General features: G+C 41.4%; 1 protein-coding gene across 1 annotated transcript in view, besides 1 other annotated feature; it reads right to left on the bottom strand.

Annotated features, from left to right (window-relative positions):
- Positions 8,581–9,511: an enhancer, noted in NCBI's record as "OCT4-NANOG-H3K27ac hESC enhancer chr2:98950857-98951787 (GRCh37/hg19 assembly coordinates)". NCBI's record gives its function as "activates a minimal SCP1, AML or CMV promoter by ChIP-STARR-seq in naive H9 embryonic stem cells {active_cell/tissue: H9 hESC(naive)}" and the evidence as "EXISTENCE:reporter gene assay evidence [ECO:0000049][PMID:30033119]".
- Positions 13,289–16,273, bottom strand: part of VWA3B (von Willebrand factor A domain containing 3B) — a 243,450-nt gene continuing 240,465 nt past the window's right edge. The window contains exon 29 of the transcript XR_922885.4: positions 13,289–13,307. The gene's annotated coding sequence lies outside the window, so the exon portion shown is untranslated. The remainder of the gene's footprint in view (positions 13,308–16,273) is intronic.

The raw sequence follows: 16,273 nt of genomic DNA, 5'->3' as shown, positions 1-16,273 counted from the left end.
AATGAATATTAGGTTAGTAAGATTTGGTGATGTTGCTTGTAGCTATAGTTCATTTAGTTTCACTGTGTAAATAATTTGTTATTTATTTATTCTGTATGCATATTGTACACATTGCTTTAAAAATAGGGGCGGGAAGAACTAAATTTTTGATTCTAATTTTGTAAAATCTTCCCAGTCCAAACAAATTTTAGATGTACTAGGGACCTGATATTTTATAGTCAGGGTTGAAAGGCACACAAATAGTGCCCATAGGTAGGCAACAGGACTGCTGTCTCTGCTGGGGGCCATATGGTGTCCAGTGTGTTAAAGAACACACAATCTCATAAGTAGATAAGCCAGACTAACCGACGATACACAGAAATGCAAACAGATAAACCCAGTTATCAGCAAGGAGGGATGTGTGAACTTGCTTTGGCAGATGGTCTAGATCCTTGGCAAATGATAAGGCAATTTGTAGGAATGGCTTTTGGGAAATAAAATATTTATGAGGAGACAGGCAAGGTTTACATGAGAAGCAAGATGCCTCAGTTTTCCCCGCAGGAATTCTGTCAGTCAGTGCAAAATTGCAGGATGGGGAGGCCCCAAGTTGGGGAAAAGCAGTTATTTTCTGTCTTTAAAGCCCACTTTGCCTGTTTCCTTCTCAGGCAATCAAGATGATGGCATCTATTTCTCTCACCTACCTGGCAGTTGGAAGAATAGAAGGAAAGTTAAATTAAATGAATGAACAAGATTTGAAGAGTTAGAAATTCTAACCAAATACCATTAAGAGCTTGAGGAGGACTGTGGGACCATAGGATCTAATCTATCTTGTCCCCTGGGGACTCCCTGTCTCTTTCAGGTCAGCTTTGCAAACAGTCGCTATAGGGGCTGCCCTTAAGACCCCAGTGCCAGCTTTCCACTCTCCAAATTTCTACTGTCTGACCATCAATGCCTGAAGTCCTACCATTGGAACGTCATCTCTCTATTTTCAAACTTGGATCCCTTTTAAAATGCCAATAACTCCATGAGATAGAGTGTGGATAAAGAATCAAATACAAAGTTTTGGTAGGAAAAATTGAGGAGCACATTTGAGGATCCTGCAGGCCAGTGAGCGTGGCATGGGATGGGCGCCATAGCAGGAGGTGGGTAAGATCAGGGGGAAAGGGCACAGGTGAGACTTTAAATACTGAGGGCAAGCTTGGCCCCGGTTACAACTGAGCCTAGTCCTGGCCCAGCGAAATCACTTGAGCTTTTCTCTAAGCCTAAAGCCTTCATTTTCCACCCACAAAAGAAGGACAATCACCTTTTCTAATTGCTAAGCTGGCAATCAGTGTGCTGGATGCAAGGCTGTTTTTGTGGATTGTGATGTGAACGGCATCAAAGTGCTCGCTAATAGGTGTGATATGCTCTGGGACTCAGTACTGCTCAGTTTGACATCATTATCACGGCCTTGGGTGAACATATGGAGTTTCCTGCATATTTTAATATGGATACGGAGTTATAGAATGTATAGCTAACATGCACTCAGAATATATGGTGACTAAGGAGTATAAATCAAAATCCAAAAAAATCTTGAGAGCCTTCAATGATGCACTAAATATACAGGCCAAGAAAAGACATAACAGGAACACATGTAAAGTTCTGTATCAGCGTCCAAAAAGTCAGCCCCCCAAGTACAGGAAGAGGAGACGTGGCTTACCAGAACTCGCTCAGTAAGATGCGAAGCCTCAGGGTGATGTGTCTCCACAAAAATTGGCAAAAAGTTAATGAGAAATAAGGCTGACTTAATAGAAGTATATCATATAGAAGAGAGGTGAGTCTTGCTCAGCTCCTCTCTGTCAACGTACCTGGATTATTTTGATTTTAGTTGCCATATTTAAAAAAATTTACAGACATCACTATATTAGTCATAATATAACTTTAAAAATTAGCTGGGCGTGGTGGCTCATGCCTGTAATCTCAGCACTTTGGGAAACCAAGGCGGGAGGATCGCTCGAGCCTGGGAGTTTGAGATTAGCCTAAGCAACATAAGGAAATCTCATCTCTACAAAAAATAAAGAATTAAAAAAAATATGTGGGCATGGTGGTGCACTTGTATTCCCAGCTACTTGGGAGGCTGAGATGGGAGGATTGCTTGAGCCCAGGAGGTCAAGGCTGCAGTGAGCCATGATCGTGCCACTGCACTCCAGCCTGGGTGACAGAGCAAGACCCTGTCAAAAATAAAAATAAGAAAGTCAACCTAATAAATCAATTGTATATTTTCTGTTACTTTCTAGTTTTCATTCGCATGCACGTATTCTTTTTCACAGGGATAGTAACAGTGATGTAAATATATAATTTTATTATTCTGCTTTTAATTAGGCTTTCTAGTTTGAGAAATAGCCTATTGTGCTGCATTAGTTTCCAGTGGTTTTTGGTCATGACCAAATCATTTGTCACTGACCATGATCCTGGTGAAATGAATTACATAATTAATAGGGTGATTTACACCATAGTTGACCTTTTTTATGTACATTTAAATTAGTTCCCACTTTTTCACTTTTAAAAATGACTGCTGTAAACACATGCATCAAAACTTCCCCTATTTTTTGTAATTATTTCCTTCAGTTATAGTCTCAGTAGTAGGATTACCCTAGGGATATGAATATCTGAATTCAAGAGAAGTTTAAACAATTTATACTGCGATTAACCATTTACCAGTTCTACTGTATTTTATTTTTGCCAGCATTCTATTTTATTTTTTCAAATTTAATGCATAAACTGTATCCCATTACAGCTTTAATTTGCATCTCAACAAGAGGTAGTAAAGTTGACAATTTTCTTATGTATATTTATTACTTGTGTGTCCTGTTTATGAATCACCTACTCATGTCCTTTGCCCATTTACATTAAAGTTTTGATCTTCTTTCAGTTTTCATGAGCTTTTTGTGCAATACTGACAGAGGCTTTTTCCTGGTTTATATTATGAAAATATTTTCTTTAGTCTGCTTGCCTTTTTATTTGAGTTCCGATAATATTTATTCTAGAGACTTGCAAATATTTGAAAGCCAAGAAATGCGTACTTCTACTACATATATAATATCTACTCTCTTTTTGGTGGTTTTATGTGTTTTTATTTTTTATTTATTTATTTTTTTTTGAGACAGAGTCTCGCTCTGTCGCCTAGGCCGGAGTGCAGTGGCGAGATCTCGGCTCACTGCAAGCTCTGCCTCCCGGGTTCACATCATTCTCCTGCCTCAGCCTCTGGAGTAGCTGGGACTAGAGGCACCTGCCACCACGGCTGGACAATTTTTTTTTTTTTGTATTTTTAGTAGAGACGGGGTTTCACCATGTTAGCCAGGATGGTCTCAATCTCCTGACCTTGTAATCCGCCCATCTCGTCCTCCCAAAGTGCTGGGATTACAGGCGTGAGCCACCGCGCCCGGCCATGTGTTTTTATTCTTAATACAATTTAATACTCTTTAATACAATTGGGCTTATTTTGACATAAGGTCTAGACAGTTTCATTTGAAATTTCTTTAACTTTGAGCAAAGTTAAATTTAACATAGGAATCGGGTTCATCATCTATTAAAAAATGATTCTGCTTTTCACTTTCATTCCAGAATTTTCTAAAAGAATATTGGGCATGTCAAATACTTGATTTCTTAGGAAACCTCATTCTTCAACCATGCCATGTCACTTATCAATTTGTTGTCTCCCAGTTCCAAATGTATCTTCAATACCTGCTCTGCAATAATGGACAGAATTTGTTTGAGTATTACAGTGAGCATGATGTTAAACTTTCTCAGCAGAGGATGCTGGAGTGGCACCGGAGCAGGAAGGGGCTCTCCTGCTGTTTCTGGTGACTGCAAGATTGGCGAATGACACAGGTGGGAGAATGTCTGGTAGTGCTCCACCTTGGCCACATGCCTGGAACACAAGGTCCCTTCATGACTTCCCAGCTCCAGCCTGGCCTGGTGGTCATCTTTCTGCAGCTCTTGCAGCATGGACCCTGCATGCCACAGCCCTCCTGCCTGCACTGCTGCCCCAACTCCCTCTGCTTTCCTATGCCTGCTTCCCCCAGGCTTGCCTGCTGTGACCTTCTGGTGCTGCAGCCCTTCTAACACAAACACCACAGCTCAGGGCTCCTATTCACATGAGCACCCATTTTCCCTGCACACCTGTGTGGCTGGCCATTGGTTGTGGCTTACTCAAACCCATCTGCACTCCAGGTGAGAGCTGCTTCCTACCTGCTCAGCAACTACAGACCAGCTCTGGCCTGTGCAAACCAGCACACTTCTCTGCCAATCATTGGGCTGCAACTATGCTTGCTCCAACAAGGTCTGAATGCTGGCCTTGGAGAGGGGGACCACATTCCAAGTTCATCCTTCTTTGGCTGCTCTCCTTCAGCCCTAGGGTGCCATGAAGGGTTCTCTTACATCTTATACTTACCTTTTATCATAGTTTAATGATCTTCATATTAGCCTTCTCCTTTATAGTCACTTTCTGTTTTATAGTCATTGTGTGACTTCTGTCTCTTAATTAGACCCAAACTGATATACCTGCTATGCGCTGAAGTATCCTTTACATTCTTATTTAGAGAGACTGAATTTAGAATAGAATCTTTACATTCTATTCAACATTGTACTGAAAGTCATTGCCAGTGCAATATAGGAAAAAATAAAAGAAAAAGAATCCAAATGGTATAACGAAGACAAAAAGATAACTATCATGATTCACGGGTAGCATGATTGTGTATGCAGAAAATCCTATGTAATCTACAAAAAATGAAACTAGAATATTGTAGTACACAGTTAATATACAAAACTCAATTGTACTATGTTCTAACAACAAACAGTAGAAAATGAAATTTTAAAAATATCATTTACAATAGCATTAAATACATTAATTACTTAGGACTAAAACTGTCATTATGTGCAAGACTTGTGAAACATTGCTGAGAGAAATTAAAGAAGACCTAAATAAATGGAAAGATTTATCATGTTATGACATATGTTTATAAAATCTCAATAATTTTAAAATATTGTCCTCCAAAATTGATCTGTTGATTCCATACAATCCCAATTAAAATTCCAACAGGCTATCTTTTTTTTTTGAGACAGAGTCTCACTCTGTCAGCCAGGCTGGAGTGCAGTGGTGTCATCTCGGCTCATTGCAAGTTCCGCCTCCCGCGTTCAAGCCATTCTCCTGTCTCAGCCTCCCAAGTAATTGGGACTACAGGCACCAGCCACCATGCCCAGCTGATTTTTTTGTATTTTTAGTAGAGACAAGGTTTCACTGTGTTAGCCAGGATGGTCTCGATCTCCTGACCTCATGATCTGCCCGCCTTGGTCTCCCAAAGTGCTGCGATTACAGGCTATGTTAAGAAGGAAATAGTAGTTACAAAATTTTACAGAAATACAAAAGATCTACATTAGACAAAACAAGACTGAAAAAGAACAAAATTGGAGGATTTACATTACCTGATCTCAAAACTAATGATAAAGCTATAGTAATCAAAACAGTGTGGTATTGGCATAAGGAACAGGTTAGTGTAACAAAATGGAAATTTCAGAAAAAGAACCATGTATGTATGGCCAAATTATTTTTGATAAAGATACGAAGGCAATTCAGTGGGGAAAGGAAGTTCATCTTAAGAAGTGGTGCTGGAACAACTGGATATGGTAAACAAAGATGAATCTCAATCTCTGTCTCACTCCATATAAAAAATTAATTGAAAATGGATGATAGATAGACCTAAGTATAAAAGTGAGAGCCCTAACACTCTAGACACAAAAATCCAGAAATTTTCATGAGTTTAGAGAAGGCAGAATTCTCTTAGATAGGACACAAAACGCACTAACAATAAAAAAAACTCCCAATGAATTACACTTAATCAAAATAAAAATTTATTCTAATCAAAAGATACCATGAAGAAAATGAACAGAATAGTCTACAAAATAAATGCTATGTACTCTTCAAAAGTGTCAAAGTTGCGAAAGACAATAAGTGAGTAATTGATGGATAGATGAATAGATGGCTGGCTGGCTGGATGGATGGATGGATGATGGATGGATGAATGGATGGATAGATAGACTGATTGACTGGCTGACTGACAAACTGTTCCAGATTAAAAGAGACTAAAGATAAATAAAAACTAAATGCAACGTGTGATCTTGGTTTGGATTTTTGGCCTTGGTAATTTTTTTTCTTTTTTCTATACAGGCCTTGTGGGACAACTGGTGAATTTTGAACAAGGTCTGCAGATTAGATAATAATATATCCCGATTAATGTACTGATTTTGATCACTGTACTATGGCTCAGTAAGAGAATGTCCTTGTTTTTAGAAAGTATTCTTTGAAGTATTAGAGATAAAGGAATATCATCTCTGTCACTTAGTCTCTAATGGTTCAGAAAAAAATTGGTGTGTGGGCCAGGCATAGTGGCTCATGCTTGTAATCCCAGCACTTTGGGCGGCCAAGGCAGGCAGATCACGAGGTCAGGAGTTCAAGACCAGCCTGGCCAACATAGTAAAACCCCGTCTCTACTAAAAATACAAAAAAAATTAGCCGGGCGTGGTGGCAGGCACCTGTAGTCCCAGCTACTTGGGAGGCTGAGGCAGGAGAATCGCTTGAACCCAGGAGGCAGAGGTTTCAGTGAGCCGAGATTGCTCCACTGCACTCTAGCCTGGGTGACAGAGTGAGACTCCATCTCAAAAAAAAAAAAAAAAAAAAAAATTGGTGTGTGTATGTCTGTGTGTGTGTGTGTGTGTGCATCTATGAAAGACAGAAACAAGGATACTGACAAAGCCAACATAGCAAAACGTTAGCATTTATGGGTGCTGGCTGAAAGGTGTTTGGAAATTCTTTGGATTATTTTTTGCAAGTCTTATTTTACTTTCTATTTCTGGAAGTCTTAAATTACTTCAAAATAAATGTTAATAAAGAAGAATGTGCAGATAATCCCCAGACACAGACAAAATATTCACAGTAAATATATTTGACAAGGGACTCATCTTCAAAGTATATAATATTTTTATGTAAATCAATAATAAAAAGAAAACCCAATTAACACATTGGGAAAATATTTGAACAAACATTTCACTAAAGAAGATATATGGATGACAAACATACACATGAAAAGTACTCAATGTTATTATAGTAGTCGAAATGCTAATTATGAATTAGAAGTGCAAATTAAAGCCACAATGAGGTACTACTACCCATCCACAAGAGCGACTGGCAGCACTAAACCGCGGGAGGATATACAGCAACACATACATTGCTGGTGGGAATGGAAAATGGTTCAAACAGTTTGGAAAACTATTTGGAACTTTGTTACAAAGCTAAATGTGCACTTACAACATGAACCAGCATTTTGACTCCTAGGTATTTTTCCGAGAGAAATGAAAACCTATGTTGTCAAAATGGCTGTGCACAAATGTTCATAGCAGCTACATTTATAATAGCCCCAAACTAGAAATAGCCCAAATGCCTGTGGATAGATGAATGGACAGGCAGATTGTGATTTATTCAAACATGGAATAGTACTCAGCGACAAGAGGGAAGGACTACTCATACATGAAACAATAGGGATGATTCTCAAAATCATTAAGTCAAGGCTGATAAGCCAGACACAAAAGCATGCACACAGTGTGATTCCATGGAGCAGGAAGGAACTTTCTGTGATTAAGTCAATATTTTACATCTGGTATGGGGTGGTGGTGTCACAGGTGTATATGAATGTCAAAGTTCTTTGCACTAAGGTTTTAACATTTATGCATTTAATTGGAAGTAAATTACATATCTCTCGTTATAAATTGTACTAATTTTTTTAAATCAGTGACCACTAAAAAGGGGGGTGGGATGAGATGAAATTGGGGTGTTGGGATGTTTTTGGTGCCTACAGGTGAAGAAGGGTGGAAATTCATCTCCAGCACTGGGTCTCAACTTGTTCCTCTTCCACAACCCCAATCCTGAGAGTGTTACCATGCTCCAAGAGTCATGGCCTCCTCCTATTTAAAATGCTTTACCAAAGACCTTGTTATGACAATGCCAACCTTCAAATAACTCAGGCCTCAAACCTTAGAATCATCTTGGATGGACTCCTCTACTTCTTTCTTTCTTTCTTTCTTTTTTTTTTTTTTTTGAGACGGAGGTTTTCTTTGTTTCCCAGGCTGGAGTGCAGTGGTGCGATCTTGGCTCACTGCAACCTCCGCCTCCTGGGTTCAAGCAATTTTCCGGCCTCTATTTCTTTTATAACCCACATCCCCTCCTGTGGCAAATCTCACCTATTCTACCTTCAAAATAAGTCCAGACTCTCATCACTTCTTGCCAACTCCATTGCTACCCTTTTGTCCAAGTCATCCACACATCCAGCCGAGGTCGTTGCAATTGCCTCCAAAATGGTTCCGCTGCCTGCTTCCACCCTTGCTCCATTGACTAGCTTCCTTGTTAATCCCCACACAGCCAGGCACACTTCTGCCTCAGGGCCTGTGCACCTGCTTTTCCTACTGTATAGCAGTGTGGCTTCCTCCTTCTCTTCCTTCACATCTTTGCTCATCTATCACTTTCTTAAGAAGGCATTTCCTGAATACCCCTATTCAAAATCTCAAGACCCCTCTCCCATCCCACCCACTCTCTCCATTGCTCTTTATCTGATATTTTGCATATTTAATTTATTTTTGTTTTCTACCTCTTCCCACTAGTCTGCAAATGCCACGAGGAGAGAGATTTTTACCTCCTTTGTTTACTGTTATATTTCCCAGTGCCTACAATAAAGTCAGGCACATAGTGGCAACTCAATAATTACCTGCGAAATGTGTGTATCTTGGCTTTGGATACCGAGCTCTAGGAATACAAGTAGGGGAGAAGTTTTTCCCCACCACATAAATAATGGAGATAACATATGTCAAAGTCTCTTGAAAATCATAAAACAATAATCACATTTCAGTGAATGCTACTTAGAAAAAGTCATTATTTTCCGCCACCCATCTGTAACCACTTTACTCAATTATCACTCTCAGATGTTTATTGTCATGCCTCTTTCAGGACGATGCTGAATGTTAACATTCCCTGGGGGAAGGGGCTAGCTCTAACTCCTTTGATATGATGATGAGGTGGCCTCAAGTACTGGCAGTGTTTGAAAGCTGCTGAGGAAGAGGGCATAATTTGTTTTTACCCTGCTGCTTTCTGGAGTAATGGGACAGAGCAATAAGAAGTCACAGGCTCCGAGAATTTCAGACCCTGGCATGGGGGTTAGCTCATGAAGGAATGGTTTCCAGGGAACATGATTCAGACCCTGTGGAATGGCTCACAGTTTATTATTCACAAGATCTAGGAGACATTTAAATCATGCAAATATATCCTGCTTCTCTGCGAGTGGACACAGCACACACATTTGCAGTGACAGAGCAATGAATCATGTATTTTAGAGGAGACAAGGGTGTTTTACATTTCCATGTGACTCTTTGTGAAGGGCAGCTTTTGCATTTTCCCTGTCTATTTGAATTCTGATGTCTAATCAAGTGGACAAATAAAGGAATTTATCTTTTTTTTTCTGCCCCTTCTTCCCTCCCTCCTTCCTTCATTCCTTCCACCTTTTCTTGTTTCAGTTTTTATTCTTTCTTTCTCCTTCTTCTACCTCTTTTTCATTTCATTTCTTTTTTTTTTTTTTTGAGCCAAGGCTTGGCCTTGTTGCTCTAGCTGGGTTCACCCTCTCTACTCCCCACCCCCACCCCTGCCACAGCATCTACCTTCCCTGGGGAGGAGGGCTTCTCTGCTGTTTTCCCCTGCCTGGTGTGAGCTCACATTCTCTGTGTGTTGCACAGGCCTCATAACCATCAGTTGTTACTGATGCTTGTTTTGGTTGTCAAAGAAGAATGAGGAGAGGAGATATAGGAGGTGGACTTGGAGGTTTGTTCGGAGTCACTGGCTGCAGCAAGTCTCCTCCCACACAGCCGACCCCATTCCTCAGACCTGCACTCTGTACAGCATGGCTACTGACCAACTCATGGTTAAATGGTAAGTTTGACTGGCTGTCCACTAATGACCACCTTTTGCGATCAGGTCCCGACTCTCTGTCTAGCTGAAGCTCCTGCCCAGCAGATCCCCTGGGTTCCCTCGATATTGTGACAGGAGATGGTAAGCCCAGTAGGTTTGGATTATGCCTCCAGTTTATTAAAAAGCAGGTACAGAATTTCGCAGAACTATCAAACAGACAGACAGTTCTGTGATTTTTGGAGAGCCAAGGCATTGCCCGTTTCACAGAAAATTGCTTCTAACAATCCTACAGGGATAAAACCTGCTTATTAATGTAGAGAGAGGTGCTGAGAAGACATGAGCCCTGGTGGTAATGATAGCCGACACATCCATAGTGCTTACTCGCTACTGCACAGTGTGCAAAGCACTTTTTAAGTCAACTCATTTGATTTTCATGACAGCGTAGGAGAAACTGAAGCACAGCTGAGGTGCCCACCATCAGTAGAGCTAGGCCAGCATCAGAGGTGGGTTCTTTTTTTTTAATTTTTATTTATTTATTTATTTTTATAATTATACTTTAAGTTCTAGGGTACATGTGCACAACGTGTGGGTTCTTAACCACACATTTAAACTGTTTCTCTGCTGTCTCTGTCACATCAGGAAGCTGGGCCTCCAAGCCCTTCTCGGACTCAGAATCCTCCCAGCAGATACCCAGGCAGAGGAGTGTGAACTCTCAGCCCCTAAAAAGGTTGGTGATGTGGCTGTGAGGACCGCAGTGCATTTAAACCTGTCTTCAGAGTGAGACACGCTCTGGCCTGGAAAGATTAACAGGCTGGGAGAAACAAGAGGGTGTGACCACTTGACCTTATTTGGGATGGCCAGCTTTCAGATGGGGTAACTACTAAGAAGTCACCAACGCTCATCTCTTCATTGTGAATGAGGTTAAGATTTCCTGCCTTATCTCATTGGTTGCCCCCAAACAGCAAATCAGGGGTGAATTGTGAGCTTGATTAGACTTCTTCCTTTCAGGTGGGCACATTGATAAACAGACACTGGCCAGACACTCTGAGAATTGGGTGTCCCATTTTATTCCTGATTGTAGCATCTGGCCTACCTCTCATTGTTTTATTAGCCATTATGAAACCAGTATCCTTTTATTAGAAGGTATTGGGCCTAAAATGCAAAATACCATCAATTAGAGGCAAAACGGCTGGTGACTACAGGTCATGTAATGGGACATGTATGGCCAGGCCATACTACATGTGACTCTTTACCCGAGGCCAAGTCAGAACGGACAGGGTAGGGGGTTCCTGCTGCCTCCAGGCCGCTCTTCCTCTCCATTCCCCGTTCCTCAGAGGCGCTGACTGGAGAGGCTGGCCACTGCTGGGGGTCTGCCGTGAGTTGTTTCTCTAAAGTACACATACTCTAGTCAGAGAATTTTGAAGCCCACAAGCAAGGATGCTTAAATGAAGGTCCATTCATTCCACTGAGCACCTATTATGTGCTTGGCTGTATGTACAGTATGCCCACCTCATCACATTCTGACAAAGACTACTGTTTGTGCACAGACTAGGGGAGCAAGACACAGCCATTTGCCCCTGGAATGCAGGTTGACTTGCTGCTGAAGGACTGTGCTGGGAACAGTGGGAAGGGGGCTAAGGCTCAGCACAGTCATTGATGTCCTGGGGAAGATTCACAGCACTTTGACTTCAGAAGGGGGCTTGGTGAGGGCCTCCACTTGGTGAAGGGGGTTGGATCAGAGTGGGATGCTGAACGTTGTCTGGGATGACGGGAAGGGGATTTAGAGATTACAGGGGCAGGTAGGGAGAAACAGTCTTGGAGAAGGGTCCTCTAACCTTAGTGGAGGATGGTCTCCTGCTGGGTGAAATGCCTGGGCTGCTCCTGCAGAGATGAGAAGCTTGGAAAAGACTCCCAGTGTGAGGGAGATGAGATGGAAGGGGTGTGGTGCTGATGCTAGACTCATGATTTTAATTTGTTTTGCACAGCTCTTGCCTGCTTAGAGTGGGGTCCTCTTTCTCACATGGTAGGGGCTGGAGAGGTCACTCAGGAACCTTCTCCTTGCCATCTCTTGGTAGGAGTGTTAGTGATGGCACCAGCAATGACCATGGTCATGGGGAGAGCAACGGCTAACGTTAATTGAGTTGTCACTGTGTGCCAGATCCTGTTCTAAGCCCTCTATCCAGTTTACCTTCAGGACTGCCCTGTGAGGCAGGCTCACAAGTGCCTAGAGGATCTTCTGTACTGACTACAAGCCTCTAAGTGAAGAAGCAAAACAGGCTCTGGATCTTGGAGGTCCTTGAATTCTCCTGGGGCTCAACTTGAGGATGCTCACGGCTCAGGCCTGAGAGGGGAGAAGCATAGTGGGCAGGCATCTCCTCTCTGATCACCTACTTAGGTTTTGGTTCCCCAAGGATGATTTGCTGCCATCCTGCTCAGGAGTGTGTGAAAAACACAGAATGACAGGTGCCACTCCAGGCCCACTAAATTCAAATCTCTTGGGACAGGGCTTGGGATTCTGCATTGTCACCAGGGCCATGCATAGGCAAGTTAAAGTTGCAGACCTCCACTGTGGGGAGTAATTGCCACCTTGCACAGTTTCTCCTTGGTTCTACAGGTAAGGATGGAGTTTTGGGAAGACTCACATATATAGAATCTCATTTTGGATTCCGGGCAGGAAGTGAATTATTTATATTCAAATGTATCCTGACAGCAGAGAAACACACACAGAGGCTTTTGATAACGTGGATAGGTCTGTTGGATTGTACCTCCAAAAAAATCCCAGAGACAGATTTAAAACCTCATGACATTCCCCAGCAGACCATGTGTAAATCCACATGATGGCAGAGTTACTTTTAAAAACAAAAAAAGCATTAGCCGGGCGTGGTGGCAGGCGCCTATAGTCCCAGCTACTCGGGAGGCTGAGGCAGGAGAATGGCGTGAACCCGGGAGGCGGAGCTTGCAGTGAGCTGAGATGGAGCCACTGCACTCCAGCCTGGGGGACTGAGCGAGACTCCGTCTCAAAAAACAAAAACAAAAACAAAAACAAAAACAAAAAAAGCAAAGCTGCAAAACAATGTGAATATACTTCCCAATATTTATCTGAACACTTAAAAATTGTAAGAGGTTAAATTTTGTGTGTTTTTTAAATTACAAAAAAAGTGAAAAAGGCCACCTCCAGGAGCATGGGGGTATCCCAACCTTTGAATTAAAAGCAAAGCTTTTGTAGTACCACATTCTTGCAAGGCTCAGAGAAGGCTTGCCCAGTGAAGATTCCTGATGAAATACCGCCTTGCCACGGCTTCCAAGCTTTGATGGGGAGTGAGCAGAAACCTTCCCAGAGGTGTGTCTAGAACAATACAAATATGAATACAGACAACTCATACAGAAAGTAGGCTGGAGGCAGATCAGTGCCCAGGGAGCAAAGGCACCAGATGGACCTTAAGAATTGAGAGTTGGTGCAACCTGATGTGATTTTCAGGATCTCAGTCACAGCAAAACAGCAAACGAGATGTTTCTCTGATGGGCACAAGGTGTAGGATAAATAAATTAACAAGGAGAGGAGATGTGGTAAAGAGGGGAGAGAGAATTATTCAATCCACTTCCTAGAGCAGTCCTGGGACTATAAGTCTCCGGACCACCATCCTCCAAGTAAATCCCAGCCCTTAGGAAAGTAAGGGAAAAGAGCCCCTTAGTTAGACCTGAGCTTCCCCTTGGAGGCTGGGGGCTGGAAATGGGTGTAAGCAAATGTCTGATGTTGGCTGTCTAGCATTAGAATATCCCCTGCACCTTGAATAGCTCCATGCAGTCCCTCCCTTGGAAGATGGTGACTCTAATGTGCCAGGAGACCCACGTGAGAGCAGCAGTCCCAGATGTTGTAGGGTATGTGATGTTTCTGCCTTAGTTCTCATAGGTCCGGAGATCACAGTACAGCATCATTCAGATGGAGTCAGCCTCTCTGGTAGCATTTCCTGAAGGCTGTCAAACGACATCCTTCTTATCACCCATCTTTACACTCTGCAGCCCAGCCAAAGTGAAATGTGTGGGGCAGGCAGTCAGGAAGGGCAGGCTGAGACTCTTGGGCACGGGCAGGAACTGCTGCCCACAGATGGAATTTCTTCTTCATAAAGGACACAATACATCAGGTCTGTTCTTAAGGCCTTTCGACTGATTGAGCCAGGCCCACCCAGATTATCTAGGATAGCTTCCCTTGTTTAACGTCAACTGACCATGGACCTCAATCCCATCTACAAGATACCTTCACAATACCTAGAAGTGTTTTCTTGAATAACTGAGCACCGTGGCCTAGCTAAATTGACACATAAGGTTTTTCCTGGTGACTACCATAATTTCCCTGATGGCTAATGATGGAGATCTACTCTTCATGTACTTATGGCCAGTCATAGATCCACTTTTAAGATCTTGCCCATTAAAAAAAAAGGGTTGTTTGCCTTTTTACTACTGAGTTGTAAGAGTTATTTTATATCCTAGAAACCAGTCCTTTATCAAATAATACGTATTGCAAATATTTTCTCTCCGTCTGTGGTTTGCTTATTTGTTTCCTTGTTAGTATCTTTTTTTGAGTAGAAGTTTCGAATTTTAATGGAGACAAACATCAATTTTTTCGTTTATGTTTAGTGATTTTTGTAACTTGACAAATAAACATTAGCCTACCTCCATGGTCACAAATATTTCTTCCTAAGTTTTAGATATTTTGTAGTTTTAGCTTTTACATTTATGTCTATGATCTAATCTATTTCCTGTGAATTTTTATTTATGGTGTGATTTATTGTTTATGGTCATTTTTTCCCCATATGAATATCCAGTTTTTCTAATTATCATTTGTTGAAAAGACTTTCTCTGCCCCATCAAATTGCCTTGGGACTTTTGTTGAAAATCAGTTGACCATATATGTGTGTGGGTCCTTTTTTGGACTATTTTTCATTCAGTTGATCTATATGGCAATCCTTTCACCAAAACCACACCTTATTGTTTAATGTAGCTTTAAAGTAGGCCTTGAGATGAGGTAGGTTAAATCCCCCAACTTCATGGTATTTTATTAAGAATGATTTGGAAATTTTAGTTCCTTTATATTTCTACATGTATTTTAGAATAAGATTCCTAGTTTCTGTCAACAAACCTGCTGGAACTATGTGTGGAATATCATTGAATTTATAGAGGTTTGGGGGAGAATTGACATCTTAATAATGTTGATCTTTTCCCCCCAATCTATGAACTTGATTTATCTACTTATTTTGATCTTTAATTTCTCTGAAGAATGTTTTAGTTTTCAAGGTAGAGGTTCTTCTTTGGCTAAATTTATTACTAAATACTTTGTGGTTTTTGACACTATTTTAAATTAAAAATTTTAAGATTTTATTTTCAATGACTTGTTATTTATACATAGAAATACAATTGAGTTTTGTATATTGACTTTATATCCTGCAACTTTGCTAAAGTCACTTATAAATTCTAATAGTAGTAGTGAATATGTCTTAGGAGTTTCTATATAAATAATTATGACCTAGCAAATATAAATATTTTTGCTTTTTTCCTGATCTTTATGCCTTTTCTTTTTCTTGCCTTATTGCAGTGGCCAGGACCTTGCTCAGTACAATGTTTAACAGAAGTGGTCACAGTGGGCATCCTTGGCTTGTTCCCAATCATAGCAGAAAAGCATTCATTGATTCACTGTTAAGTATGATGATACCTGTAGATTTTTTTTGTGGATATTTATAGGGGGTTCGAGGGATTTGGGGACTGATCAAGAAAAAAAATATCACCATGAGTGGCAGTAACACACACAAAACTTTATTGGGTGGCACTTGGACAGGGTTGAATGAGAGGTGAGGTCCCTTGTAGCATGAGACCTCCCAGAGGCTTGTGGTAAGGGGCCACCCACAGAAGGAGGGCAAGAGACAGGGCATCAGAAACAGGTGCCTTGGTGATGTTGCTCAGTAGCATAGTGGGGAGTCTCTGTTAGAAACCCCTGAAGGGCAGCAGTGGTTTCAGGGCTTACAATGTCAGGGCCCTATCTGAGCAATAGGTAACAGCTGTCGGATGAGGTTTCGTGGGGTACGTGAAGCACACAGAATATAAATGGCTGAACGTATGCTTGTTTTTTAAAACAAGCATTTTAAGAATAATTGGATGTGCAAAAATTTGAGTTTGTTGCTGACAGACTTTGAGCTAACAGGTCTCATCTAGTACAGAAGAAATAAACAACCTAGAGACCAACACACAGAGGTTGTCTTTGACTGATTTCTATAACCATGCCCTTCATCAGTTTGAGGAAGTTCTTTTCCTGTTTTCCTG

This window comes from Homo sapiens, chromosome 2, assembly GCF_000001405.40.
Source record: "Homo sapiens chromosome 2, GRCh38.p14 Primary Assembly".
Taxonomy (NCBI): Eukaryota; Metazoa; Chordata; class Mammalia; order Primates; family Hominidae; genus Homo; species Homo sapiens.
This window is presented reverse-complemented; position numbering and strand designations above follow the sequence as displayed.